The sequence below is a fragment of the Homo sapiens genome, chromosome 1, assembly GCF_000001405.40.
Source record: "Homo sapiens chromosome 1, GRCh38.p14 Primary Assembly".
In the NCBI taxonomy this organism is placed as follows: Eukaryota; Metazoa; Chordata; class Mammalia; order Primates; family Hominidae; genus Homo; species Homo sapiens.
The window spans coordinates 157,792,968-157,820,700 of NC_000001.11; the positions used below are offsets into that span (position 1 = coordinate 157,792,968).

General features: G+C 40.6%; 1 protein-coding gene across 18 annotated transcripts, besides 2 other annotated features; it reads right to left on the reverse strand.

Moving 5' to 3' along the window:
* Positions 1 to 1,435: 1,435 nt before the first annotated feature.
* Positions 1,436 to 27,153, reverse strand: FCRL1 (Fc receptor like 1). 18 transcript variants are annotated; one of them, XM_011509126.2, is made up of 12 exons: positions 27,040 to 27,153; positions 14,135 to 14,155; positions 10,878 to 11,144; positions 9,410 to 9,697; positions 8,948 to 9,226; positions 8,494 to 8,610; positions 7,091 to 7,118; positions 5,194 to 5,276; positions 4,965 to 4,972; positions 4,792 to 4,853; positions 4,134 to 4,162; positions 1,436 to 3,203 (listed from the first exon to the last, which is right to left on the reverse strand). In XM_011509126.2, the coding sequence occupies exons 1-12, from the start codon at positions 27,068 to 27,070 to the stop codon at positions 3,145 to 3,147; spliced, it is 1,272 nt and encodes a 423-aa protein (XP_011507428.1). In that variant the 5' UTR covers positions 27,071 to 27,153; the 3' UTR covers positions 1,436 to 3,144. The 18 variants fall into 18 exon arrangements, 17 of the variants coding, with proteins under 17 accessions (XP_011507428.1, XP_011507427.1, XP_011507435.1 ...); XM_011509125.2 differs by having other exon boundaries at positions 4,134 to 4,165; XM_011509133.3 differs by lacking the exon at positions 4,792 to 4,853 and having other exon boundaries at positions 4,134 to 4,165; positions 4,901 to 4,972; positions 10,878 to 11,029.
* Positions 13,603 to 13,662: an enhancer, noted in NCBI's record as "active region_1894". NCBI's record gives its function as "activates an Ori minimal core promoter by ATAC-STARR-seq in GM12878 lymphoblastoid cells {active_cell/tissue: GM12878}" and the evidence as "EXISTENCE:reporter gene assay evidence [ECO:0000049][PMID:35858748]".
* Positions 13,693 to 13,742: an enhancer, noted in NCBI's record as "active region_1895". NCBI's record gives its function as "activates an Ori minimal core promoter by ATAC-STARR-seq in GM12878 lymphoblastoid cells {active_cell/tissue: GM12878}" and the evidence as "EXISTENCE:reporter gene assay evidence [ECO:0000049][PMID:35858748]".
* Positions 27,154 to 27,733: the final 580 nt, after the last annotated feature.

A 27,733-nucleotide genomic window follows, 5' to 3' on the forward strand; every position in this document is an offset into this window, starting at 1 on the left:
AGAAGCTAGACGACCATGGAAAAAAATATTACAACTGTTGAGCACAAAGCTATGCTATCAATCTTAAATTCTGCTTTTGGGCTTTTTGGACAAATAAACTCACAGACCCTATCAAAAATGATGGGAACGTTTAAGTTCATGAAGAAAGAAATTGATTAAGAAGAAGTGGAATGTAAGAAGCCATAGATAGCATTTCATGTGAGTATTAAGGTAAAGGGATGATCATACAATACAAAGAAGTTCAAACTTCTGATCACACCATACTCCAATTTCATCCTTTGAGGCCCTCCCTGAGCTCCAAGCACATAGCAATGGCAGGAAAAATACAAAATGTAAAAAAGCTGTGTTTGTTCTATAAAAAGAAAATAAAAATGTCCATGGACCAGAAACAGAAAATCAAAGCAGAAATGCAAATGAAGGAAATAAGAAAACAAGGATATCAAGAGAAAGAACATTAAAGCATGGAAATAGAAAGTACAGAGTTCCTGAGCTGGGACTAAATTTGGTGTGCTTGAGGAACCCGGAGGCTAATGTGCTTGAAGTTAATTATGCAAGGGGAAGAGTGGTAGGAAGATCTGTAGTATTAGTTGGAGTCTAAAACAGGCTTAGGTTGAATTCAAGTGAGATAAGATAGCATAATAATAAAAGGGAAAAGAACAGACTATTTAAATAAATAGTAGTGCACAATTTATATGTGTTTGAAAAAAGTTAGATCCCTACCCCACATTTTAAATTAAAAAAAATGCATAAAGATAAAATCAGTAAAAGTTAGATTCTTACCTCATACCACATAGAAAAATGATGTATTGAGTGAATATATAATAAAACTATGGAGGCATTATAAGAAAATATAAGAATATTTTATAACATGGCAACATGGTCTGATAGAAGATGACAGAAATATAGGAAAGTTAGAAACCAAGATTTGAAAAACTTGAGTTTAGCTGTGCAAAAACTAACCTTCAGTATTTTAGAATTCACTGTAAACAAAAAGTGAAGTGAAAGATTGCACAAAAACATTGTCATCGCATACAATGGAGAAATGGTCAAAAGCATAATGTTCAGTAGTTGTTTCTAGAGTGGCATAAATAGACTGGACATGAGTATGAGGGAACTTTCTGGAGTGATGAAAATAGTTTATCTCATGATAAGGGTTTGGATTACTCAAATGCATGCATTTGTCAAATTGATGGAACTATGCACATAAAATCTATGCATTTCACTGTTATAAATTAAGCCTTAATAAATCATTCCTATAAAAACTGTAAGAAAAACACAAATGACATAGAAGATGGGCAAAGGCTGAACAGAGGACAGTTTCTCTCTCCTGCTGCCATGTGAAGAAGGACATGTTTGCTTCCCCTTCTGCCATGATTGTAAGTGTCCGGAGGCCTCTCTAGCCATTTGGAACTGTGAGTCAATTAAACCTCTTTCCTTTATAAATTACCCAGTCTTGGATATGTCTTTATTAGCAATGTGAAAACTAAGTAATACACCCCACAAACTGATTTCCCAGACGTTGTTGGTGAAGATATAAATTGATACAGCCTTACCTGAGAGACATTGAAGACTATTTAACAAGAATATTTAATATGCATAATCTAGCAATACTAGATTTACAAATTTATCCTTCAGATAATCCAGCAGGAGTGCCATAATATGCTAGTACAAAGACATTTGTTTGAACTTTGTTTTTATAATATGAATTTTTTGAGAGTCTCCTTAATGTCCACCAGTGATGAGAAGGATTAAAATATATTATGATAGTACTTAATGCCACTGAATTGTACACTTAAAAATGGTTAAAATGATCAATTTTATGTTGTGCATATTTACTACAATAAAAAAAGAAAAAAGTTATGATTTATCTATATAACACACTACTATAGAGACTTTTAAAATAGTATAATAGATCTATTTACAGATTTGAAAGTATTTCATAATAGTTTGTTAGATAGGTACACTTCTAAATGTTTATATACTTACATGTATGCATAAGTATACATACAAAAATAGAAAAATATCTAGAGAGCTACCTGTAAAGTTTTTAACAATAGTTAACATTTGTGTTAACTTACAGGAAAGACTTTAACTTTTTACTTTATATACCTCCAAATGTTTATTAATTCATAAGAGTGAGTGCCTGGTTATTTTAAAATTCAATACATTGCTTGAGCCCAGGAGTTTGAGACCAGCCTGGGCAAAACGGTGAAATCTTGTCTCTACGTAAGACAAAAAATGGCCAAGTTTGGTGGCATGTGCCTGTAGTCCCAGCTACTCAGCAGGCTGAGGTGAGAGGTTTGCTTGAGCCTGAGAGGCAGGCGTTGCAGTGAGGCAAGATTGTGCCACTGCATTCCAGATTGAGTGACAGAGTGAGACCCTGTCTCAATTTAAAAAAAAAATAATTAAGATACAGGTTTCAAACCATATTACCACGATTTCAAAAATTTTGTGAATAAAAGAAGACACACTGTATTTATAAAGCTTCTAGGGGCTGTAATAGATACATAATTTTGGATGTGGTATAGGTTGGCCTATATATACAAAAATACGTCACTAAAATTAAGTGGAGTCACAATAACTTTTTATGTAACTTTGTTTTAGTTCTAATTTGGTAACAGTGACTCAAAATAAATAGAATCATATTTTAGGTGGAAACTCGATGATCCATGTAAGTAGCGGGGCTGGAGTTCTGTGCTGTCTGGGCAGAGAAAGCACTTGGACTGAATGATGGGCACAGCTCTCTCTGTGAAGTCCTGCAGAGTCACTAACCTTGAGTTCATGTGCTCTAAGCTTCACTGTCCCTCCAACCCAAGATCCCAATTTCTTTTATTCCATCTTGTTTCCTCTTGTAAACAGAAGAGCACAATATGACCTGTTTTCAAAGGAGCCGGCAGGAATCTGGTTCTGATAACAAAGTCCCTGTCACTCCTGTGTCTATTAGTTCTCCTAGGTAGTTTCTTCAGGGCTGCGCCAACTTCACTTCACAGTAGATGAAGGAATAGTGCCATGGAGAATGGCATCCAGAAGAGGTATACTGGAAAGCTAATGCCCCAGGATCTCTGAAGAACATATCAGGCCTGAGGCTTGGGGTCATGGATGGTTTTCAAAGAGCAGAATCTTCCATAACCTTACATAGCATCTTCATAGTCCACATCTGTAATGTTTGCTTTCCTCAGCCTGGAATAGATGTCTAAGGAAACCTGGAAGCAAAGATTAGGACTAGAGCAGGGAAGACAAGCAGAACATGCCTCCACTGGTCCCCTTCCCCAGTTAGCTTGGATGCATCTTATCATGGCACATCACGCAATGCAAAAATAAGGGCCTCTTGGAAAACTGTGGTCCAAGGCCAGCATTTTTAGAGTGCCTGTATCCCACTGGTGGACTACAAAGATGCTCCTGATAAGCTGCAAACTGATGCAAACATACAGTGCCTTCGCTCATTCTTATGGGCCTTTGTTAGGCAGGCCCATGGGCTGTCATTTTTTAAAAGGTTGTCAGAATTTTATATTCATAAATTAAATGTAGCATGTCACTGGACTTCACCAAGGATTTGAATTTTGTTCTGAGATATCTGGCTGCCACACCACACTAGACAAAACTGCAAAGCACCTACTGTTTTTGCACACATGCACAGAGCTGGAATTTCTGCAGTTTTAAGAAAGTATTTTTGTATCAGTGGTGATACCTTGAATTATTCAAAGTTTACCAAATGCTAATTTTTAGTGACACAAATTACTATTAGCTTAGGTTTGTTCAATATTAATTTAGTTGCTGTAGATTGTTTGGTTAACCTTATAGTACAAAGTGATGGATGTATGGCTCAACAATATTTTAGGATAAAGATTTTCCAATAAATAGAATTTTTAGACTAGGTATGCACTGCAGTTTAGCTAAAAATCATTCATGTGTCCATTGCTAAAGTAAATGTATTTGTAAGCCTTCAAACTTTCCTTGTACAATGACCCCTTATTGTTGTAACTATGTGTTTTTACCTCCATTGCTTTGGGATGTAGGGAAGAGGTAGACCATGGGATTTTTGCTCTTTCTAAGTGGCTATAATTTAAGAAGTTTGAGAACCAGTCCCCAGAGGAAAGAAAGAACATGGAAGAAAGAACAATAGAGACTCTTACCTTGTCCTCCATATGTGTCCCCAGGGTTTCTGCTGTGGAGAAAAGACAAGTGCTGTGACATTCCACTTATATTTAAAGTCCTTCACTAAACTTGTGTTAAGAAAAGCTTCTTCCTCTCCCATCTATTTCCCATGAATTGATTTCCATTAATATTTTCTGTCTTGCTTTTCTGTTTATCACAAATGTGATTCCCTTAGTAGCCAGAGGAAAATTGGTAGCCTGGGGGTGGGAGGGTAAGTAGACCCTCTATGCCAGGAGGGGCCTTTATACCTCTCAGCTATTCTGGGCTCACCATGTGTAGGATGGGACAAGAGCACCAGCTAGGCAGCTGTGATGGGGTTATGAGGAGTATGTCAGGCTACTTAAAGAGGGCAGGCAGAAGCCATCACCTCTGATGCTGCCACATGACTGGGGAGCGAGGCATAAAATGTAGGCCATACAATGACACCTTATTGTAACTACATGTTTTACCTCCATCGTGTTGGGAGGTCAGGAAGAGGTAAGCCATGGGATTTTTGCTCTTTCTAAGTGACTATAATTTAAGAAATTTGACAGCCCATCCCCAGGGGAAAGAAAGAACCTTAGCATTAGCTCTGGGCTCTACTCAAGGTAGCTCCAGACCCAAGGACAGCCATTAAGTACACACAGTGATGCTCACAGCCTTCTGCTCTGAGGAATGCTGTTGTCTGCCATGCACAGCCACTGATTGTTCTCTTGGTTCTGGGAAAGACAAAAGTCAGAGACAAATTTACTCCCCCATGTCTCACCTGCTACTGATTCCTGCTCCGGCTGGTTATAGTACGCCAGTGAATAAACCTCATCCCCACTTACAACATTCACTGCAAGAGAAGGAGGGAGACTTCATGACACAGCCCCTGATTCCTGTCTTTCAAATTACTCCATACCTTCCACCTGTCACAGCCATGAAGACAGATGAGTCATTTGTTTGTAGCAGAGGCTAGGGCACAGCAAAGTCAGGTTTGGCTAGCAGATGTTATCCCATTGTCCCTTCCCTAGCTTGCTGTACCATCGTTGGCCTGGGCCATTTGGGAAGGCTCACCATTTTCATATATAGGCTGTAGCTGCCCTGGGGTAGGTGAGTTGAGGTAGGTGAACTCTTGGGGTAGAGGGCTGGGAAGGCTCCTGCAAACACAGAGACACATGTTATTTATCTGAAATTGCATCCCAGATCATGCAGATATCACACTGAAGGAGAGAAGCCTGTGACAAATTGTCCTGAGCAGAATACTAAGTTACGGGGAAATGAGCAGCTAGAAGGCACAGCAGTGTGGTATGAGTCACGGCTCTGTGCACATGCTGAGTGGGGCACCGCAGAGCATGCACCAGCGGGTAACTCCATGAGCGTAAGGTGTGGTATTTCCCATTCCCAGAATAGTGTCATTCACATCATGAGTGCTCCCTAAATATTAAATGAATAAATATTGATTCACTCCAGATGGAAAACACTTTGCTGGGCAGAACAAGCAACTTGAGGAAGGGGCAGAAGAAAATGCTCCTTCATGTGCGGGTACCAGTGAAAAGTGCTACTCTCATTTGAAAAAAAAAAGAATACCTGTTTATTGTTGGCATAAATGATAATACATTATATTAAAAAGACAACTAAACATTGGGATCTCTAGATGGAAGTAGTTTAAAAAATATTTTCTTCCTCTAAACATCTAAAGAACTTCACCAATAACTGTTCAGTATGTTCATTCCTGTCTGTCTTACATTCCAGAAATGTACATGTATCTTACCTACCCTAAAATACTTTAAAACTCTCAAGAGTTTTTTATATTTTCACATTTGTCAGCACTCAACAGAATGACTTACAGATCCTCAAATATTGGTTGACTGATTGAGTGAATGCATGATCCTGGTGAAAGCTATGTGATTATTTACTTATTTATTTATTTATGAGACAGAGTCTTGCTCTGTCACCCAGGCTTAAGTGCAGTGGTGCCATCTCGGCTCACTGCAACCTCCACCTCTCGAACTCAAGGGATTCTCTTGCCTCAGCCTCCTGAGTAGCTGGGACTACAGGCGTGCATCACCACGTCCAGCTAATTTTTTGTATTTTGGTACAGACAGGGTTTCACCATGTTGCCCAAGGTGGTCTGGACTCCTGAGCTCAGGTGATCTGCCCGCCTCAGCCTCCCAAAGTGCTGGGATTACAGGTGCGAGCCACTGTGCCCAGCCGCAATGTGATTTTAATATTCTGCAGTGGTCAGTATGGCCATTTTCACAATATTGATTCTTCCTACCCATGAGCATGGAATGTTCTTCCATTTGTTTGTATCCTCTTTTATTTCATTGAGCAGTGGTTTGTAGTTCTCCTTGAAGAGGTCCTTCATATCCCTTGTAAGTTGGATTCCTAGGTATTTTATTCTCTTTGAAGCAATTGTGAATGGGAGTTCACTCATGATTTGTCTCTCTGTTTGTCTGTTATTGGTGTATAAGAATGCTTGTGATTTTTGTACATTGATTTTGTATCCTGAGACTTTGCTGGAAGGGGAACATCACACACCGGGGACTGTTGTGGGGTGCGGGGGAGGAGGGAGGGATAGCATTAGGAGATATACCTAATGCTAAATGACGAGTTAATGGGTGCAGCACACGAACATGGCACATGTATACATATGTAACAAACCTGCACGTTGTGCACATGTACCCTAAAACTTAAAGTATAATAATAATAAAATTAAAAAAAAATTCTGCAGTGGTATTGAAGGGGATCAACAGGAAAAATAATGAAAAGATTTAAAATCATTAATGTACGAAATCTAAAAGAAGGGAAGTGACAATGAATTGTTCAAAGTTGCCAGTGGGAGAACTCAGGAGTGAGTTCTGGGTATAATAAAGCCGGAAAAAAAATGCTCAGGAGAGAACAAATCTAAATCTATTTTTAAAATAGATTTTTCTGCATTATTGACACCTATAGTGAAAACAGGCCTCACCTGAGTGGATCCCTGGCTGAACGTCTTCCTGAAAGAAAAACAAATGAGCATACACATAAATGGAAGAACCCTCACTGTCAGCACTGTCAGTGTTTTCATACCCCCTGCACAGGGATATGCCTCATGCTCAGATGCCCATTGTGGGTGCCACTGTGTGCCCAGCAGACATCCTGGCAATCATTTACAGAGCCTTCATTTCACAGATGGAAACTCAGGTCCTGAATAATTAAGTGAGATTCCCAAAGCCAATTAGTACCAGATCTAGGACTTGGGACCCAAGTCTCTAAACTTGCACATTTATTGTATGTTTTGGTTTTGTTTTACAACCACACCACCCAATCTTATTGTGACAAAAGTCCTTGGAGGCAGATGCTGCCACAAGCATGATATAGACGGTGTGAGGTACCCAAATATGTCAGAAAAGCTTGGAATTTAAATGAGAATTTCACAGTGTCCTCTCTTGCCTTGTCTCCAACTTCCTCAGTGAAGAGAAGACCAAGGTTAAATATACAAATAAATATGTAATTACCAGTTGTGATAACGTGTGAATCTAAATAACTTGGAACTCATAATAGGAGAGAACAATTGCAGGCTGTGCACGCCAGGTGAAGCCTCTTGGAGAAAATGTCATTTCAGAGGACAAGTGAGAAAGTTCCAGCAGTAAGTGAACATGTGGATGTGTGAATGTGCGGTTCAGAGAGAAGAAAAAGCATGTCACAATACTTGAAGGTGAATAAGAATTGATGCACTGACTTTAGTACTGCGATATAGTCAGGATAGCTGGAACTGCTAACAGTATTTCTCTTCTGTGGCAGATTATGTTAAATAGTTACATTCGTTTGTTTGTTTGTTTGAGACAGAGTCTCACTCTGTCACCAGGCTAGAGTGCAGTGCCGTGATCTCAGCTCACTGCAACCTCCAACTCCCTGGTTCAAGTGATTCTCCTGCTTCAGCCTCCCAAGTAGCTGGGATTACAGGCATGCATCACCACGCCCAGCTAATTTTTGTATTTTTAGTAAAGATGGGGTTTCACCATGTTGGCCAGGATGGTCTCGATCTCCTGACCTTGTGATCTGCCCACCTCAGCCTCCAAAAGTGCTGGGATTACAGGCGTGAGCCACCGCCCCCGGCCAAATCATTACATTTTTGTATAAAAATTAAATCACAGAAGCACAAAATATCACTCGAACCTCAACTGATAGCACATGAGGGATGGAGAACTTTACCAAAAATGTTACACTGTATTAATAGGCACTGTTCCTACCCGCTGGCTTTGTGGGCAGAAACATAGGCAAGGTGTTAACAGCATATACATCTTTTGCAGTATACATGTCACAATTTCAGCCTATTTCAGTGAAAACAAAGATCACAGTAACAAAATGCCACTCTCTTTAAATACTAACCTATTTTTCTTTTGAGGCCGTAGCAAAATAATAAGGCCACGGTGGCTGGACCAAGGGTGCTGAGCAGCCCCTCAATGACTCCTGAGGTAAGATGATTGCTTCTGGCCCCAGTAGGCACTAGAGGGAGAGACCTGTGCATGATCTGCTCAGAGGAAGGGCTTGGGGCTTAGAGAGCAGACATCTTGGGTGTGGGTTGTGCCCAAGGTCTGCTCTTCCAAGTGGGGATTTATTTATTTGTCTAGGGACTTGTGGCTTATCATCTTTATGACAAGAGAAGAGCTGCACCCAACCTTGAGTTCTCCATGCCCCTCCAATACATCACTCATGACAGCACCTCACACAGAGGCCCCACCATGGGTAGCAAACCCCCGGAAGCACAGTGGCACCAGCAAAACTCTCCCAGGACGCTGGGAAGGAGACATTGACCAAGACAGTTCCATAGCCTGAGCTATACCTGTGAAGTTGAGTGTCACCGCCTCACTGCGCTGGGCCCCCAGGCCATTGTTGGCCTCACAGGAGTAGTTTCCAGAATGTTCTTCAGTCAGGGAAAGGTTGAAGGAGGCTCCTCCTCCAGAGGGGGCCGACCTGCTCCCCAGGGTGATATCCTCGTGATAAAACCAGTACAGGATCGGAGGAGAGCCTCTCAGGGCCTCACAGTGAAGCTCCAGCACATCCTCCACTGCAGCCTGGGCCCTGGGAGCCCTGAGCATGAGGATTGGGCGAGACACCGGGACTGAGGGAGACAGTAGACTGTAAGAGACAGTCTCTGACAATGCAGCAAACTCATAATCCCTGCCCACCGATGCTCAGCCCCATTGAACTTCCTCAGCATGCCCCAGGGAAACTTTGTGTGCCCCAGGGAAATGTGGAGCCCAGTTTGTGACTGGCTGGCTGAACGAAGGGTAGTGGAACTTACTTCTGACAGTGATGCTCACCAGCCCACTGGGGCTGGGACCATAGCCATTTTCAGCTACACAGTAATATTGCTCAGCATCACTCTCCCTCACTGAAGGAATCTCATACTCTGCTGTCAGTGAACGCTGGGTCTTTGACTGAAGGTTTAAACCTACAGCCCCTTTGTACCAAAGGAAGGTGATGTCTCCTGTGCCCATAGCAACTGAGCAGATGAGGACCAGCCTGTCTCCCTCCATCACCTGTCCTCCTGGGGGCTGAGTCTCCAAGCTCACATCAGCGACAGGGACCCCTGTGTGGACACAAGATGACATAGGAAGACCCTGTGCAGGGAGAGTTTCAAAGACAGTAAGTAGATATGACGGTCCTGAAAGCAAAGAGCATGAGTGAAGTCAATGATGTATATAGCTTAATTTGGGTGAGGTGGGGAGGGGTCTGCTGATTGGTTGGGTGATGGTGGTAGGATAAGAAAGACACCATAGTATTACCATACAAGGCATAGCATCACCTCTCTCCCTAGAACAACATGACTTCCACTACCTTAATCTCTCAAACTTTCATTTTTTCAAGAAACAATAGTATAGTGAAGTGATTACAAGTCTAAATTGTAAATCGAACTGCCTTATTTGAAGAGTGGTTCCAACTCTTTTACTCGTTGTGTGTGCTTGATCAAATTACTCAACTTCTCTGAAGTACAATTTTCCATATGTAAAAGAGAGCTGGTAATGATAGTTATCTCCTGCAGTTGGAGGGTTCAATTACACAATATCTGTGAAGCATTAGGATAGGGACTGCCATGTATAAATTGCTCAGTGATTATTGTGGTGGTGGTGGTCCAGTTTCACCAGTATTGAGTTTTTAGCAAGCGTGGGAGAGCACAGCCTTTTGGAAGTATTAGACATTTGCTTCATGGCACGACAGAATGGGAGAGGATGTTGGAAGTGTCAACACTGACATGGAATAACAAGATGAATTATGAAGCACTCTTTTCTTTCTATTTTTTGGAAATCAAGCTCCAACTGCCCTTCCATAAGCCCTGCTCCAGTAACCTATTCTACACACTCCTTCAGCAAAGCCTTCTCTGAACATCTCAGTCCTTTATCCCCCTTCTCTGTAGTCAACAGCCAGTCCTACACAATGCAGCACCACATATTTAACCCTAGTTATTCAGAGTGCTGGCTAAGCATCAACTTCGTGTAGTCAGGGACCAAATATTATGCAGCTCTTCCCCCCACACCCTCCAGCACAGTGAAGACACACAGTAAGGGTTTCCTAAGTACTCTCTGTTTGCCTGAATGGAAACAGAGTGAATAAGGGAAGATCCCTTAAGGATCCTAATAATGAGAGAAACTCAGGAATATCTTTCAAACAGCTCCTACTCTTGCAGAGATAGAACCCATAACAGTGAGGATTAGCCTCTTGCCACTGCCCTTCTCAGCCTATCCTGGCAGACTGACCCCACTGACACTCACTGTGCACATTTATCTGGGATCTCCTGCTCCTCAAGACTTTGGACGCCATTGTCTGTGCCTCGCACCAGTATGACCCTGTGTCTTCTTTCCACATGGCAGCGATCTGGAGCTTGGGGGAGCTGCTCCAGCCTGGGCCCAAGGCCCGGGTGTCTCTGAAAAAGCAGAACTGGAACTGGGCATCTGAACTCTGTAGAAAGGGCATCTTACACGTCAGGGTCACTGGGCTCCCCTCTGTGGGATGGGAGGGGCTGGCTATCAAAAACAGCTCTAGAGAGAGGAATTAAACACAAATGATTAATGCGGTTCGGAATTTCTGGTAAGAGGCAGTTTGTGTCTCAGCACTTGCCAACAAGACTCAAAGAAACAGCCAGTTGGACACACAGGCCACCCTACATGTCTCCACCCCCCCCCCAGTGGCCCATGGGCTTTCCTTTGCCATGAACTCACCCTGCTCACCCCTGGTACATCCTGCCCCTGTGCAGTATTATCTTTCAGAAAGTAACTCTTACCTTTGACTTGGATCTTATTATTTTTTGAAGTTTCTATCCATAAACTAAAAACACCTTTCTTGAAGCCAGTACAATAATACTGAAGACTGTTACTGGAGTCGGCATTGGAGATGATGAAGCTTGAAGTTTTATTCAAAGTGAATATGCTTCTTTTATCCTTCTAAGCTATGTTCATTATCTTCTTCTGTTCCCTTTCCCCTGGCATCTCAGAACCACAACCACACTATCTTTTTCAAAGACAGAATATGGGACCTGCAGGGTCGATCTGTCCAGGAAAGACGTAGAAGAACCCAATCCCCTCATTGCTGACTCTGTCCTCCCCCTATTATTGCTATTTCTATTAGAAGAAATGGGGTGTATTTGCTTGGAAATGCCCAGTACCCACCATCCACACAGCTTCTTTACAAACCTCTGTAGAAACCATGATCTAAAGAGCTAATTTAATTCATATCTTAATTCTCAGGGATGTGTCCCTTTGGGGTGTTAGGGGCTCTTTTCTTTTTCTTTTTTTTTTTTTCCTTTTTGAGACAGGGTCATGTTCTGACTCTCAGGCTTGAGTTCAGTGATGCGATCTCAGCTCACTGCAACCTCAACCTCCTGGGCTCAAGCAGTCATCCCACCTCAGCCTCTCAAGTAGCTGGGACTACAGGCACATGCCACCAAGCCCAGCTAATTTTATTTATTTTTTGTAGAGATAAGATTTTATGATGTTGCTCAGGCTAGTCTTGAACTCCTGGGCTGAAGTGATCCTACTGCCTTGGCATCCCAAGGTACTGAGTACAGGTGTGAGCCACCACTCCCGGCCTGGGGCTCTTTTCTGGTGATAAGATGATAAAATTGTGCTCTGCTCTCTCCTCGTCTCCCCAACTTGCAGCAGCCCATAAAAATGTCACAACCCCTAATAGCTATGGGCTGTGTGGGCATTTGTTTATCCAACCCTCAGAGCCTCTGCCCCTTGAAAAATATTATACTTTCCCTAAGACAAAACTTTATTCTTTCCTTACCAGATGAAAATGACAATTGCTTTGGATTACTAAAGGGTGAATTACTAGGAATTCAGCTTTTCGGCTGAAATGTGTTTTTTTGTTTTTGGAAACTTTTAAACATCAGTTCCATCCATAGTACCAGAATATTTGCTTTGTCCTGAGGCATGGAATATCTTAGAGTCACTGTCTTTCCTTGGAAAACTGTGGTCCCCAGAAGACTGACCAGTAGCACAGCTCTTGGAGCTAGGCAGGGCAATAAATAAAAAGGCATTTAGGCCAGGTGTGGTGGCTCACGGCTGTGATCCCAATACTTTGGGAGGCCGAGCCTGGTGGATCACCTGAGGTCAGGAGTTCAAAACCAGCCTGGCCAACACGGCAAAACTTCTCTCTACTAAAAACACAAAAATTAGCCAGGCGTGGTGGCATGAGTTTGTAGTCCCCAGCTACTCCAGAGGCTGAGGCAGGAGAATAACTTGAACCCAGGAGGCAGAGGTAGCAGTGAGCTGAGATCACACCACTGCACTCCAGCCTGGGCAACAGAGTGAGACTCTGTCTCAAAAAAGAAAGGCATTTAGCATTTGGGCATCTGTAACCCACTATTCTCAATGGGGCTAGGGTGGTAATGAAGTGGGAAACTGGACAGGGTGGATTGCAAGGGTCTGGAGCTCAGTCTTACAGCTCAGAGCTTGTTTCAGATAATTCTTAGATAGCAGAGACTATCTGGAAAATACCTGGTGACAGAAACTTGGTTTCTTCATCTTTGATATGGCTTTGGATTTCTGCTTAGGCTGAGATTGGGCACTTGGGTTTAGGGGTAAAGATGAGACCAGACACAAGGCATGCATGGTGTTAACACAAGTCATCAGTTATACTTGGACAAACATTAGATAAGGAACCTAGAAGGCTAGATTGACCCTGAATCTCTCTGAATCTTTCTGGTCACAGGAATTCCTAGGGAACTTGGGAACTTGTGTTCCCTACTTGCACTTGCAGCCGATGTTCTTGAGGTGGCAGGACAATCTCTTTTAACTCTGTGGCTAGTATTTTCTGCACAAGATAGCAATTTTTACATTTTATCATTGAGCTTGATCTAGTGAAGAGTCCTTCGTGGGGAAAGGGATTGCTTACTCTCCTTCTTTGGTAAAGGTAAGACTTTGAATCAGGACCAGTGCAATGAAGTAAGTTTGCATAAACCAGAGTCCGAAAGAGAAAATGAGCTGGGGTAACAGGTGTGGCTGCAGAGGAGAGCTAAAAATAGGAAGGAGGCAGCAGTACTACTTCATTCCACACATGTCTGGAGGATTCTCTCTAATGTTCTCCGTGGATGTGTGATTTTGGCATTTCCTTCATCACCCATGGTGACACACCCAGCTGAGAAGCACAACTGGGAATTGGAGCTCCTGAGGCTGGGAGGACAGAGATGCTTCTAGCATGAATCTTCAGCACCCTTTGCCTTCCTTGTGCAAACAGTGTCTCCCTCCCTGTGCTGGGACTTCCCGGAAGTAAGACTGTGTTCTTGAGAAGGTCAGAGCAAGACCTGTTCACCCCACTGAGCAGACACGTGTCAGGTGCAGAGACTGATGTGAAGACAGAGCAGCCCAGGCCCAAGGGAGCCACTGATGTTTGTACACCTCAGCAGCTGTCACCCTGATATGTTTTGGGCAGGAAGGGGCTGCTAAGACAGCAATCTGCAGGCCTCCTGTGCTGACCTAAGTAACAAAATACCCACAGACCTTGAAGAAGAAAAGGAAGTGCAACTCACCGGCAGGTTCACAGAGTGGAGCTGGGAGAGAATTCAGCAGAGATCAGTACAGAGCAGCAAATCCCACAAATCTCCAAAGTTTAAATCCTTTGAGAGCTTCCCCAACACCACACCCTCCATCCCCTGGACCCTCCCTGCATCTCTCTCTTCCTCCCTCTTTCCCTCTTTCTCTCTTCTCCCCTTCCTTCTTTCATCTTCTCTTCCTCCCTCCTTATCTTACCCCTGCTTCTTTTCTTCTTTCTCTCTGCTCCTTTTCCCATATTCTGCATCACCCACAGAGCACCTGCCCACAGAACAACACATCGTTCTTTTTTATGATCACAAAGTAATTGCCAATGACTTGTGTTGTCTGTGACTAGGAGGTGGCATCTTTGCTAACTACTTAGCAGCTCCTTCTTCAAGCTCCTCATTCCCATTCCCACCGCCTCCTTTCAAAAGTCTTGAGGATCCAGCTTTGGATTGACTCTCTCAAGGGAACAACAGAGTCAGGCAAGGAGAGTGCACAGCCTCATACTCAAGGCATAGAGACCCTTTGTTTACCAATTTCAGATCAGAGGAGGCTTAGGTCCAGAAAAGGAATTCAAATTTCTCCAAAAATTCTCTTCTATCCCAAGGACTTGACCATAATATTATGGCTCAATGATCAAGAAAAAATAATTCTGGGGAAAATGGAGGCTTTGTAGCTGGATGACACAGATTTGAGTACTGGCTCTTCCTCTTACAAGCTGTGTGACTGTGGGAGAAATGTTTCACCTCTCTGTGCTTTAGTTTCCTTGTCGGTAAAGTGTAGATAATTGTGGTACCTACCTCACAGAGTTTTTGTGAAGATTAAGGAGCTTAGACTAGTGCCTGGAATTTACTTATTCAGTAAATATTGTGTCATTACTATTATTTATTTTAGCCAAGCTTGGTTTGAGATACTTACTTTTTCTTAGGTTAAATGTTTACTTGAATAATTAGTTCCTTAGGTAGGAGAAAAGTGTCAATAGGAGAGAGCATAAAATCATATTCCATACACTTGTCCATACAGCAAATAATTTGAAGTGCTCACTGTATGCCAGACGTTGTGCATGGCCCTGGAGTGATGGGAGTAAACATGAATGACAATCTTTGATGTCAAGAAATTCATATTATAGTGGTAGAGAGCCAATTTAAAAATAAGTATATAATATTCTTTCAGAGGGTGATTGGTTCTCTAAGAAAAATAAAGCAGAGAAATAAGATACAGAGCATCTTAAGATGGTCTTAACTGTTTAGATAGATTTAGATAGATTCAGTAAAAACCTAAATGAAATCAGGAAACAAGCCTTCTGAATATTTGGGAAAGAGCATCCCTGGCAGAGAAAACATCGAATGCAAGTATCCTGAGGAGGAAATACGCTTGTACAAGGAGGAATGAGAAGGCAAGGGCACCTGGAGCTGACCAAGTAAGGGGGCAGGGGTTAGTTATCGGTGTCTGAGAAATAGGAAGGATCCAGTCATGGGCACTTTATGGACTTGGCAATAGTTTTGGATTTCATTCTAGGTGTGATGGGGAGCTATGGACAATTCTTACTTAATTTACAATATCACTCAGACACTGTGAGGAAAGCAGTATAGAAGTGAAAGAAAAGCAGGGAGAACGTTAGTGGGAATTTAGTGTAGGAGAGTAAAGATAGTGGCTAAGATTAGACAGTGCTGGTGATATGAAGTGGTCAGACTTTAGTATAAATTCTGAAAGTAGAATTAATAGGAATTGCTTATGGATTAAATAGAAAGTGCAAAAGGAGAGAGAGGGGAATTAAGTATGACTCTTAGATTTTTGGCCACAGCAACTGGAAGAATGGTAGTGACATTTCCTGAATTGGAGAAGTTGTGGGGGAAAATAGGTTAAGTTTTGTGGTGGTGGTAGTACAGGTGGAAGATCAAGAGATCTGTTTGAGTTTAAGATGCCTGTTAAACACCTGATGTTAAGTTTAAGATGTTTATTAAGATGTCTATTAGATACCCGAATGCAGTTAAGTACATAAGAGGTATTTAAAAGAGAGGTGAAAGCTGGAGAAATAAGCTTGCATTTAAGCTTAAAGTGGCACATGAAGTGACATAATTATATAATTTGGGGAAGTGAGTATGGATGAAGTCTAGGTATCAACTTTGAGGATGTCCAACATTTTGAGGTCAGCAAAAGATCCAAGCCAGATGCAGTGGCTTATGACTGTAATCCCAACACTTTGGAAGGCTGAGGTGGGAGGATTGATGGGGGCCAGAAGTTTGAGATAAGCCTGGGTGGCAAAAAATAAATTAATTAATTTAAAAAAAAACCCTGTTTGTAAAAAACAAAAACAAAAACAAAAACAAACAAAAAAAACCACAAATGATTTGGGGGAGATGGAGTTTCACTCTTCTTGCCCAAACTAGAGTGCAATGGCACAATCTTGGCTCACTGCATCCTCCACCTCTCGGGTTCAAGCGATTCTCCTGCCTCAGCCTCCTAAGTAGCTGGGATTACAGGCATGTGCCAGCCACCACACCCAGCTAATTTTGTATTTTTTTTTTCTTTAGTAGAGACTGGGTTTCATCATGTTGGTCAGCTTGGTCTGAACTCCTGACCTCAGGTGATCCACCCACCTTGGCCTCCCAAAGTCCTGGGATTACAGACATGAGCCACCATACCTGGTCAAAAAATTGTTTTAATTAGCTGAGTGTGGTTGCATGTGTCTCTGGTTCCAGCTACTCAGGGAGCTGAGGCAGGTGCATCACTTGAGACCAGGAATTCAAGGTTGCAATGAGCCATGACCATACCACTGCACTTCAGCTGGGGCAACAGAGTAAGACCCTGACTCTAAAAAAATTAAATAATTTAGCAAAGAAACTGAAAAGTAGCAGATACTGAATTAGAAAGAAAGCCAGCAGAATATGATATTCCAGAAGCCAAATTAAAAGTGTTTCAAAAAATAAAGAGTGATCAAATGCCCCTGAGAAATTGAGTAAAATAAAAAATTAAAATTGACCCCTTGATGCAGCAACATGAAGATGGTTGATGCTATGTGCAAGAACAGTTTCAATGGAGTGGTAAGGATGAAAGATTGATTTAAGTGGGTTCAAGGAAGAATGAGGAAGAAGTGTAAGGACTTAAATGAGTTTACCAGGGGTTAGGAATGGGAGAAGATTTGACCATAAAAGGGAGTGAGGGCATAAGTAAATTTCTTTTTCTTTTTTCTTTTTTTTTTTTTTAAGACAGAGTCTCTTTCTGCCACCCAGGCTGGAATGCAGTGGCATGATCTTGGCTCATTGCAACCTCTACCTCACAAGTTCATGCAATTCTCCTGCCTCAGCCTCCTGAGTAGCTAGGACTACAGGCTTGCACCACCTCGCCTGGCTAATTTTTGTATTTTTAGTAGAGATGGGGTTTCACCATGTTGGCCAGGCTGGTCTTATACTCCTGACCTCAGGTGATCCACCCACCTCGGCCTCCCCAAGTGCTGGGATTACAGTCGTGAGCCACTGCACCCAGCCGGGAAATTTTTGAAGGGATGAAAATGTCCTGTATTTTGATTCTGCTGGTGGTTATATGGATCTAAATCTTTGTCAAAAATTATAGACAGTCTTTCAAAAAAGTAAATCTTAATGTAATGTAAATTAAAAATAAATATTAAATAAAGAATGAAAGGAAGTGAAGCAAAGACAGCAATTCACTGAAAACTTTTTGTTTTATTTTACTTTTTTGAGACAGGATCTTGCTCTGTCACCCAGGCTGGAGGTCAGATCACTGCAGCCTTAACCTCCTGGGCTCAAGTGATCCTCTTACCTCAGCCTCCCAAGTAGCTGGGACTACAGGCATGTGCCACAATGCCAGGATAATTATTTATTTTTTATTTTTTGTAGAGACAAGATTTTGCTATGTTGCCCAGGCTGGTCTGAAACACCTGATGTCAAGCGATCCTCCCGCCTCAACCTCCCAAAGTGCTGAGATTATAGCATGAGCCACCACACCTGGTGCACTGAAAACTTTATAAAGGGAAACAGAAAACTTGTGTAGTAAATGGAAGCCATATTTCTATTATTTTAAGAGAAAAGACATTGTCGGTGATGTCGGCAAGATGGCTGACTAGAGGTGTCTATTACTCATCCTCCTCCCCGCCTAAAAAAAGACTGAAACAATAAGGAAACAACTACATTTTGACTGGAGTGTCTAAAGGAGAGCACTGAAGTACAGCAGGGGAATGGCAGAAATCTTGTGGATCACAGAAACTCAGGATGGCTACATAAAGAAGGGAATGGAACCCTGCAACCTGCCTCTGCAACTCTGTCTCCTCAGTCAGGATCAGCTTGGAATGCAGGCTGGGATTCAAGCCTAGGAGGGGCTTTTCCCTGAAAACAAAAGGTAAAGAAGTCCCCAGAAGCCCCCATTATATCTGTGGACACCAGCAGTCTTTGTTGCTGGAGAATCCTGCAGTTCTCACAGGACCTAAGTCCAGTTTTGGAAGCTGCCTGGAGTTCATATGGCTGCATTATTCTAGAGTAAGAGCCCATACTGTGGCTCCTCCCATCCCATGACCCAAGCTACTACTGCACAGCACCATCTTGAAACTAGAGCAACTACTAGAGTGTGTTCTGTTCCTGGGGGCAGTAGTCACTGCATCTTTTCATCCTTGAGGCTTCACCATCCTTGCATCATGCTTACACACAGTAGTACACCATTTGCTAGCCAAGCTTCCCTGCTTCCTAATCCATGGGAACAAGCTGTCTAGGAATCACTCCATTTTCTCCATCCTAGTGGCTTCAGTGCCCCAACCCCAGGGACTCAAAACCTAGGCTCAGGGGGACAGCTGTGATCCTGTCACTTGAGTCCACATGACACTCTGCCCTGCCAAGGAACAGGCTGTCCTGCCCAGTGGAGAAGTCAAGCCTTATCCAGAAGACCAGCCATGTGCCTGCCTCCTTGGCATATGACCCAGTCAGGCATCCTGCCCCTAGGGAAGCCACAGCTGAGCCAGCAGACCAACTGCATGCTCCCTTGGTGTGAAAACCAGCCTGGCACCTCACCCCTGGGGAAACACAGCACCTGCCAATCTGTATTACTCTGCCCTTCTCAGCCAAACAGCCTAAGTGTCCTGCCTGAATCTGGACTAGCCCTCTGAAGCCTGAGCTGCTGAGGCACACCATTTCCTTGGTGTGATGGTGTGATATTGGGGAGTGAACCCAATATTGCACTGTTCCCTGCTCTCCAGAGCCAAAGCCACAACTGCATCCTATCACCATTCCAGGGTCTTTCCGGTCACTACACCTGGCATCACAGAGCAGGGGCCACTACTGTGTCCCACCACTCCAGGGTCCAGAGTCACCAGTATGTAATACACTCTCTCCTGGTGCCTAAGTTGCCCCTGTGTCTCATTGACTCTGGGATTTGATTTGTAGTTGTGATCTGCTTCCCAGTATCTGAGCCTTTGGAAAGCCCTTTATCCTTAGAGCCATGATAGTGCTGTATCTTGACCCCCAGGATCAAAGTCACAGGTACAACCTTGCCTGTTGGGCCTGAGATACTGGGGAGTGCTTCAGAGTCACATTCTTTGTCTTGGTGGAAGAGCTGTGTCCATCTATACCTAAGACAATGAACCTGCATCCAGGCACAGATGCCATAGTAGTGGCACTGTGTGCAGGACACTGAGTGCAGGACCACAACCACCTCAAGCATCTGTGCCCTGGAACATAGTACTACCATGCCTGCCTGTGACCCATGCCAGGGCCAAACACCAAAAGACACCCTCTCAGGTATGATGGTCTATGAGGAAAAGAACAGGAAGATCCCTAAAGCTCTTGCCACTGAGAACTGTAGCAATCTATCTTGCCACCACCACCCTCACAAACTCCTACAGCCTAGGCCACTGAGGCACACACAAGCATTGCTGACATTGATTGCTGCTGAAGAAGTTACACAGAGACCACACTACTATGCTCACCTGGAACCAAACCAATGAAACTTCCTAAACTAAGGATCCATCGGCACCCTAGGATCAATCTGCAGGTGAAAGTCTTTTCTTACAAAAGCCACTCTATAAAATTGAAAAAGGTGACTCTTCCACCAGATGCACAAATGGTAAAGCAGGAACACAACAAACATGAAAAAGCGAGAAAACATGACACCAATACAAGAACAAAATAATTTTCCAATAACTAACTGGAGATTTATTAATTGCCTAAAAAATTCAAAATTATAATCTTAAGGAAACTCACTTATAAGAGAATACAGATGAAAAGTTCAATAAAATCTGGAAAACAATTTATGACCTAAACAGGAAATTTGAAAACATATAGATATCATGAAAATAATCCAAACAGAATTCATAGAGCTAAAGAATTAAATGCATGAAATAAAAATTACAATTGAGAGTTTCAACAGCAAACCAGATAAAGAAGAAGAATTTCTAAACTTGAATATAGATCTTTTGAAATAACCCAGTTAGCTGAGGAAAATTTTTTTTCGAAAGTGAAGAAAGCCTACAGGACTTATGGGACACCATTAAGTGGGCAAATATTTGTATTATTAGAGTACTAGCAGAAAAAGATATAGAGAAGGTTTTGGAAAGCATATTTGATAAAATAGTAGCTGAAAACGACTCAAGTCTTGGGATGGATATGAACAACCAAATCCATGAAGCTCAAAAATCCCCAAATAGATTTAACCTGAAGAGGTCCTCTCCAAGGTCATTATAATCAAATTGTTAAAGGTCAAATACAAAGAGAATTCTAAACACAGCAAAAACATCAAGTCATACATAAGAGAATTTCTATAAGAGTATCATCAGATCTATCACCAGAAATCATGCAGGCCAGGAAAGAATAAGATGATATATTCAAAGTGCTGAAAGAAGAAAACTTTCAGCAAGAATACTATACACAGAAAAGCTGTCTTTCAGAAATGAAGGAGAGATAAACTCTCACCCACACAAGCAAAAGCTGATGGAATTCAAGACCACTAGACAAGCCTTAAAGTAACTGCATAAGAGAGTGTTCCAGCCAGAAGTGAAAGGACAATAATTACTCCACGAAAACATGTGAAAGTGTACAATTAACTAATAGAGGTAAATTGATCATTAAATTCAGAAAATCTCATTACTGTAACGGTGATTTGTAAATCTTTCAAATATCTACTATGATGGTTAAAAGTCAAAATGGTCAATAATAACTATAGCTGTGATAAGTTGTTAAGAAATACACAATACAAAATATGTAACATAAGGCAACAAAAATATAAATAATGGCGGCAATGGTAAATGTCTAGACCAAAGTTAAGCTGTTATCAGCTTAAAGTACTCTATTATAACTATAAGATTTTTTATATAAGCCTCATGGTAACCACAAAGAAAAAACTGACAGCAGATACGTAAATGGGAGAGAGAAAGGAATCAAAGCCTAGCACTACAAAAAATCCACCAAAACACAAAGATAAACAACAGGAGAGAAACAAAGGAATGAAAGATCTACAAAACAATTAGAAAACACTCAACAAAATGGCAGGAGTTAAGTCCGTACCTATCCATAGTAACCTTGAATGTAAATAGATTAAATTATTCAATTAAAAAATATAGAGTGGCTGAATGGATTTTAAAAAACAGGACCCAACTATATTCTGCCTACAAGAAACTCTACCTGTAAGGACATACATAAACAGAAAGTAAAAGGATGAAAAAGAAATACCATGAAAATGGAGAACAGGAATAGTTATGCTTATATCTGATATAATAGAATTTAAGTCAAAAACTATAAAAAGACACAAAGAAGGCCATTGTATAATGATAAGGGGGTGAATTCATCAAGAAGATATAACAATTTTAAACATATATACATCCAACACTAGAGCACCCAAATATATAAAGCAAATATTATTAGATCTAAAAGGAGATATAGACTGCAATATAATAATAGTAGGGGACTTTAATACTCCACTTTCAGCAATGGAAAATCATCCAGATGGAAAATCAACAAAGAAATATCAGATTTAAACTACACGCTAGACAAAATAATCCTAATGGACATTTATAGAACATTTCACCCAATATCTGCAGAATTCACATTTTTCTCAACTGCACATGGAACATTCTCAAGGATAGATCATATTTGAGGAAGCAAAATGTCTTAACAAATTTAAAAAGATTGAAATTATATGAAGTCTCTTCTGACCACAATGGTATAAAACTTGAAATCAATAACACAAGGTACTTCAGAAACTTCACAAATACATGAAAATTGAACATCATGCTCCCAAAGAACCAATGAGTCAATGAAAAATAATTCAAAGAGAAATTTTAAAATTTATTGAGGCAAATAAAAATGGAACCACAACATACAAAAATCTGTGAAATATAGCAAAAGCAATTCTGAAAGGGAAGTTTATAGCAGTGAATGCCTACATCAAAAATAGAAGAAAGATCTAAAATAGGTAACCTAACGTTTCACCTCAAGGAACTAGAAAAACAAGAACAAACTCCACCCAAAGTTAGTAGAAGGAAGGAAACAATAAAGACTGTGGCAGAAATAAATGAAATAGAGACTAGAAAAACAATACAAAAGATCAATGAAATGAGTCAGTCTTTTAAAAAGATAAACAAAATTGACAAACTAGCTAGACTAAATAAGAAAAAGGAGAGAAAATTCAAATAATAAAATCAGAGATAAAAAGGGAGCATCACAACTGACATCACAGATTATAAAGGATAAAGGATTATAAGAGACTATTGTGAACAATTATATGCAAACAAGTTGGTAACTTAGAAGAAATATACAAATTCTTGCACACATATAACTTCTCAAGATTTAATTGTGAAGAAATAGAAAATCTGAACAGACCAATAACAACTAAGGGAATTCAATCAGTAATAAAAAGTCTTCCATCAAAAAGGAACCTAGGATCTGATGGCTTCATTGCTGAATTCTACCAAACATTTAAAGAACTAATACCAATTCCTCTCAAATGATTTCCAAGAAATTAAAAGAAGAAAACACTTTCAAACTCATTCTAAGAGGCTAATATTACTTTGATGCCAAAACCAGACAAAAACACAACAAAAAGAAAACTACAGGCTGATATCTCCGATAGACATAGATGTGCAAATTCTCAACAAAATAACTAGCAAACCAAATTCAACAGAACATTTTAAAAATTCATTTACCATGATCAATGGGATTCATTTCAGGGATGAAAGGATGGTTCAACATGCAGATCAATAGAAATGATACATCACATTAACAAAATCAAGAATAAAAACCACATGATCAATACATGCACAAAAAGCATTTGACAAAATTCAACATCCATTTACGTTAAAAACTCTCAGAAAATTAGGTGTAGAAGAGATGTACCTCAACATAATAAAGGTCATATATGACAAGTCTGTAGCTAATATCATACTGAATGGGGAAAAGTTGAAAGCATTTCTCTAAAATCTAGAACAAGACAAAGATGCCCACTTTGGCCACCTCTATTTAACATAATAATTGAAGTCCTAGCCAAAGTATTAGGCAAGAGAAAGAAAGAAAGGGCATCCAAATTGAGAAGGAAGAAGTTAAATTGTCCCTGTTGGCAGATGACAAAATCTTATATATAGAAAACTCTAAAGACCCCACCAACAAAATTTTATCTAATAAATGATAAAGCTCTATGTCACTGATTTGGGCAGCAACTTCACTGATGAAGTTGCTGGATAATAGATAGATAGATAGATAGATAGATAGATAGATAGATAGACAAAATATGTAAATCAGTAGTGTTTCTATATACTAATAGTGAACTACCTGCAAAAGAAATTAAGAAAACAATCCCATTCACAATAGTTATAAAATAATAAAATACTTAGGAATAAATTTAACCAAGAAGTTGAAATATCTCTACAGTGAAAACTATAAAACATAAATGAAGAAATTGAAGAAGATGCAAATAAATTGAAAGATATCACATGTTCATGGATTGGAAGAATAAATACTGTTAAAATGTCAATACTACCCAGAATCATCTACAGATTCAATGCAATCTCTATCAAAATACCAATGACATTGTCTTCAGAAATAGAAAAAGCAATCCTAAAATTTGTATGGAACTAAAAACAAATAAACAAACAGAAAACCCTGAATAGCCCAAACAACCTTGAAGAAAAGAAAAGCTTCAGGTATTATACTACCTGACTTCAAAAACTCTAATAATCTACAAACCTATAATAATCAAAACAGCATTGTACAGGCACAAAAACAGACACATAGACCAATGAAACAGAATAGAGAGCCCGGAAATAAATCCACACATTTATAGCCCACTGATTTTCAACAAAGGTGTTAAGAATACACGATGTGGAAAGGACAGTGTCTTCACTAAATAGTATTAAGAAAACTGGATATCCACTTATAGAAGAATGAAATTAGATTCTTATCTCTCACCATAGACAAAAATCAACTCAAAATGGATGAAAGACTTAAATGTATGACCCTGAACTGAAACTACTAGGAGAAAACATTGGGGAAAGCTCTATGTCACTGATTTGGGCAGTGATTTTTTTGGCTAGGACCTCAAAAGCAAAAGCAATAAAAGCAAAAATAGACAAACGGGATTACACACAACCAAAAGGCTTCAGCATAGTAAAAGAAACAATCAACAGAGTGAAGAGACAACCTATGAAATAGGAAAAAGTACTTGCAGTCAATACATCTGAGAAAAAGTTAATATCCAGAATATATAAGAAACTCAAACAACTCAATAGTGAGAAAACAACCCTATTAACAATGGTCTAATTCTCAAAAGAAGAAATGCAAATGGCCAACAGGTATATGAAAAAATGCCCAATATCACTAATCAACAGAAAAATGCAAATCAAAACCACAATGAAATATTACCCCATACCTATGAAAATGACTATAATCAAAAAGACCAAAGATAACTAGTATTGTCAAAGATGTCGAGAAAAGAGAATCCTCACATGCTGTAGGTGGGACTGTAAATTAGAACAGCCATTATGGAAGACAGTATGGAGGCTCTTAAAATATAAAAAATGGAACTACCATATGGTTCAGCCATCCCACTACTGGACATGTATCCAGAGGAAATTAAAGCAGTGTGTTAAAGAGATATCTGCACTCCCACATTTATTGCAGCACTATTCACGATAGCCAAGACAGCATCAATGTAGATGTTCATCAAAAAATTAATGGATAAAGAAAATGCAATATACATACATGATGGAATACTATTCAGACATAAAAAATAATGAAATCCTATCATTTACAACAACATGGGTGAGCCTGAAGGATATTATGTTAAATGAAATGAGGTAGGCACAGGATGACAAGTACTGCATTATCTCACTCATGTGGAATCTGAAAACGTTGATCTCATAGAAGGACGGTGCAGAATCATGGTTACAAGAAGCTTGGGTAATAGTGGGGAAGGAGGAATGAGGGAAATGTTGCTCAAGGGATATATAATTACAGTTAGATATGGGGTGTGTGTCCAGAATAGACAAATATAGAGAGACAGAAAGTAGATAATGATTGCATGTGGCCAGAAAATAGAGGGGTGAGGATAGGTGAGGCGTTGGAAAAAAAATTGGGGATGCCTGCTAGTGGGTATGGCGTTCTTTCTTGGGTGATGAAAACATTCTGAAATTGATTGTGGTGATAGTTGCACCACTCAGTGATTGTCATAAAAAACCATTGGATTGCATAACTTAAATGGTGAATTGTATTATATGTGAATAATATTTCAATAAAGCTGTTTTTAATAAAAGATACTGTAGCATGTTTGTATACTTATGGGAATAATTTAGAATGAAGAAACATATTGATGATGGAGCAAACTTTTTGAGAAAGTAAGAGGGTCATGGGCCTAATGCACAAGTGGAGAGTCTTGTCATCAACAAGATGAGGGGCAATATATTCGTGGTAGGGGAAGAGAAGGCAGTGTATGTGAATGCAGAGGTGAGTAGGTCAACAGCAACAGAAAGATGAGAGAGTTTTCTTCTGACTGCTTTTATTTTCTCAATGAAATATGAAGCAAGATTACACAATGAGAGTGAACAGAGAAGTATGAGGTGACAGGATAAGGTATGCAATAGTGATAATGGAGCAACATGGACTGTGAACATGTAGGATAATTGCCTGGCATTGCTGTTGGCTACCTGAGATTTGGGGGTCCTACACTTAAAAGGGGATAAGTCATCAGGGTTGTGCATTTAAAAAAAAATCCCATTCAGCTGTTTATGTCCAGGAGTGAAGCATGCAGAAGGGCGTGTAAACCAGGAGAGTGCTATGGGGGAAGAGAGATGAAGGTGTGCTCGAGGGAGTGTTGTGGTGGTGAGCTGCAGAATCTGAGCTGAGCACCATGAGAAGTGAGCACATGAAGTGTAGTTACTGATAATGGAAAAGTAGCCCTGGGGTAATTGAAGTCATGTTGGAAATAGAGTGCAGGAGAAAGTGAGCTAGAAACACAACTTAGTGGGGGTGGGGGATGTATGCTGAAAACAAAGGAGTGATGATAAGTTCTAAGGTTTGACTGTGGGAATGGGGAGTCAGAGAGGGATAAAAGGAAATAACGTTGGTAGTAAGAAGGGCAAGGAATTCAGAGGCCTATTTATTATACAGATTTTTCTTTTGGCAGCTGTTGAAAACACTGAGAACAAAGACAATTATTGATGGAAAGGAAGACAGACAGTGAACACTTCCTATGAGATAAAAACTGAAATGATAGTTTTCTTGAAAACTCTGGCTTTTTGAAATATCTACAACTTTTTGCCTGACTCTGAGCCCTCCGTGGAAGTGGAGATCTGAGCACCCCTGAGCATTACCTGACAGAACCTTAGTCCTAAGAAGTCCTTACAGCCCTTCAGGAAGCAGAGCCCAAGCATGATTGCATCCCATGCCCTGCTCTGAGTTGCCCAACTCACCACAGATCAACAGCAACAGCCTCGGCAGCATGAGGACCAGGTCAGGGATGGTACCTAGAGATGCCTCTCATCAAAAAAAGAATGCACCTCAGAGTCGAGCAGCAGCAGCTCATCAGAGGTTTGAGGAAGTTGATATCGGAAGTTACCCTTCAGCAGAAGTAGAAGGAAGAAGAACCCTCTAGTGACCAGTCTCCATTTCCTTTTCTATGAAGTCTGAGAAAATTAAAGATGCTCCTTTTTAAATATAGTTTGATTCAGTTCCACAAGCTGCAGATAGTACACATCAATATTTGAGGGACTTTTTCAAGAATTCAGGTATTTCAAAGGAAGTTTTCTAAAGGCAGTTTCCTACTTTGATGAGTCTCATCAGGTTATGGTCCTGCTGAAATTCATCTTTGATACATCTACAATACTTTTCACCTTTGATAGGGATGTCTCCTGGATTGTTTCTAATTGGCACATTCTTCTTGCTCAGCAATATAGTCCCACTATGCAAACTTTCTCTAGTATAGTCATATTATGCAAACATGTCATTAAATCAGGGACTGATGGGGCTGTCACCCCGGTTATGTGTAGTGTCTGACCCTTGCTGCATATGATGACTTATGTACAGGGTCAACCTATTCATACAGATATACGCTTTGATATTCAAACTTTCAGTGTACCAGTAAATGAGCATGAAATCACTGAAAAA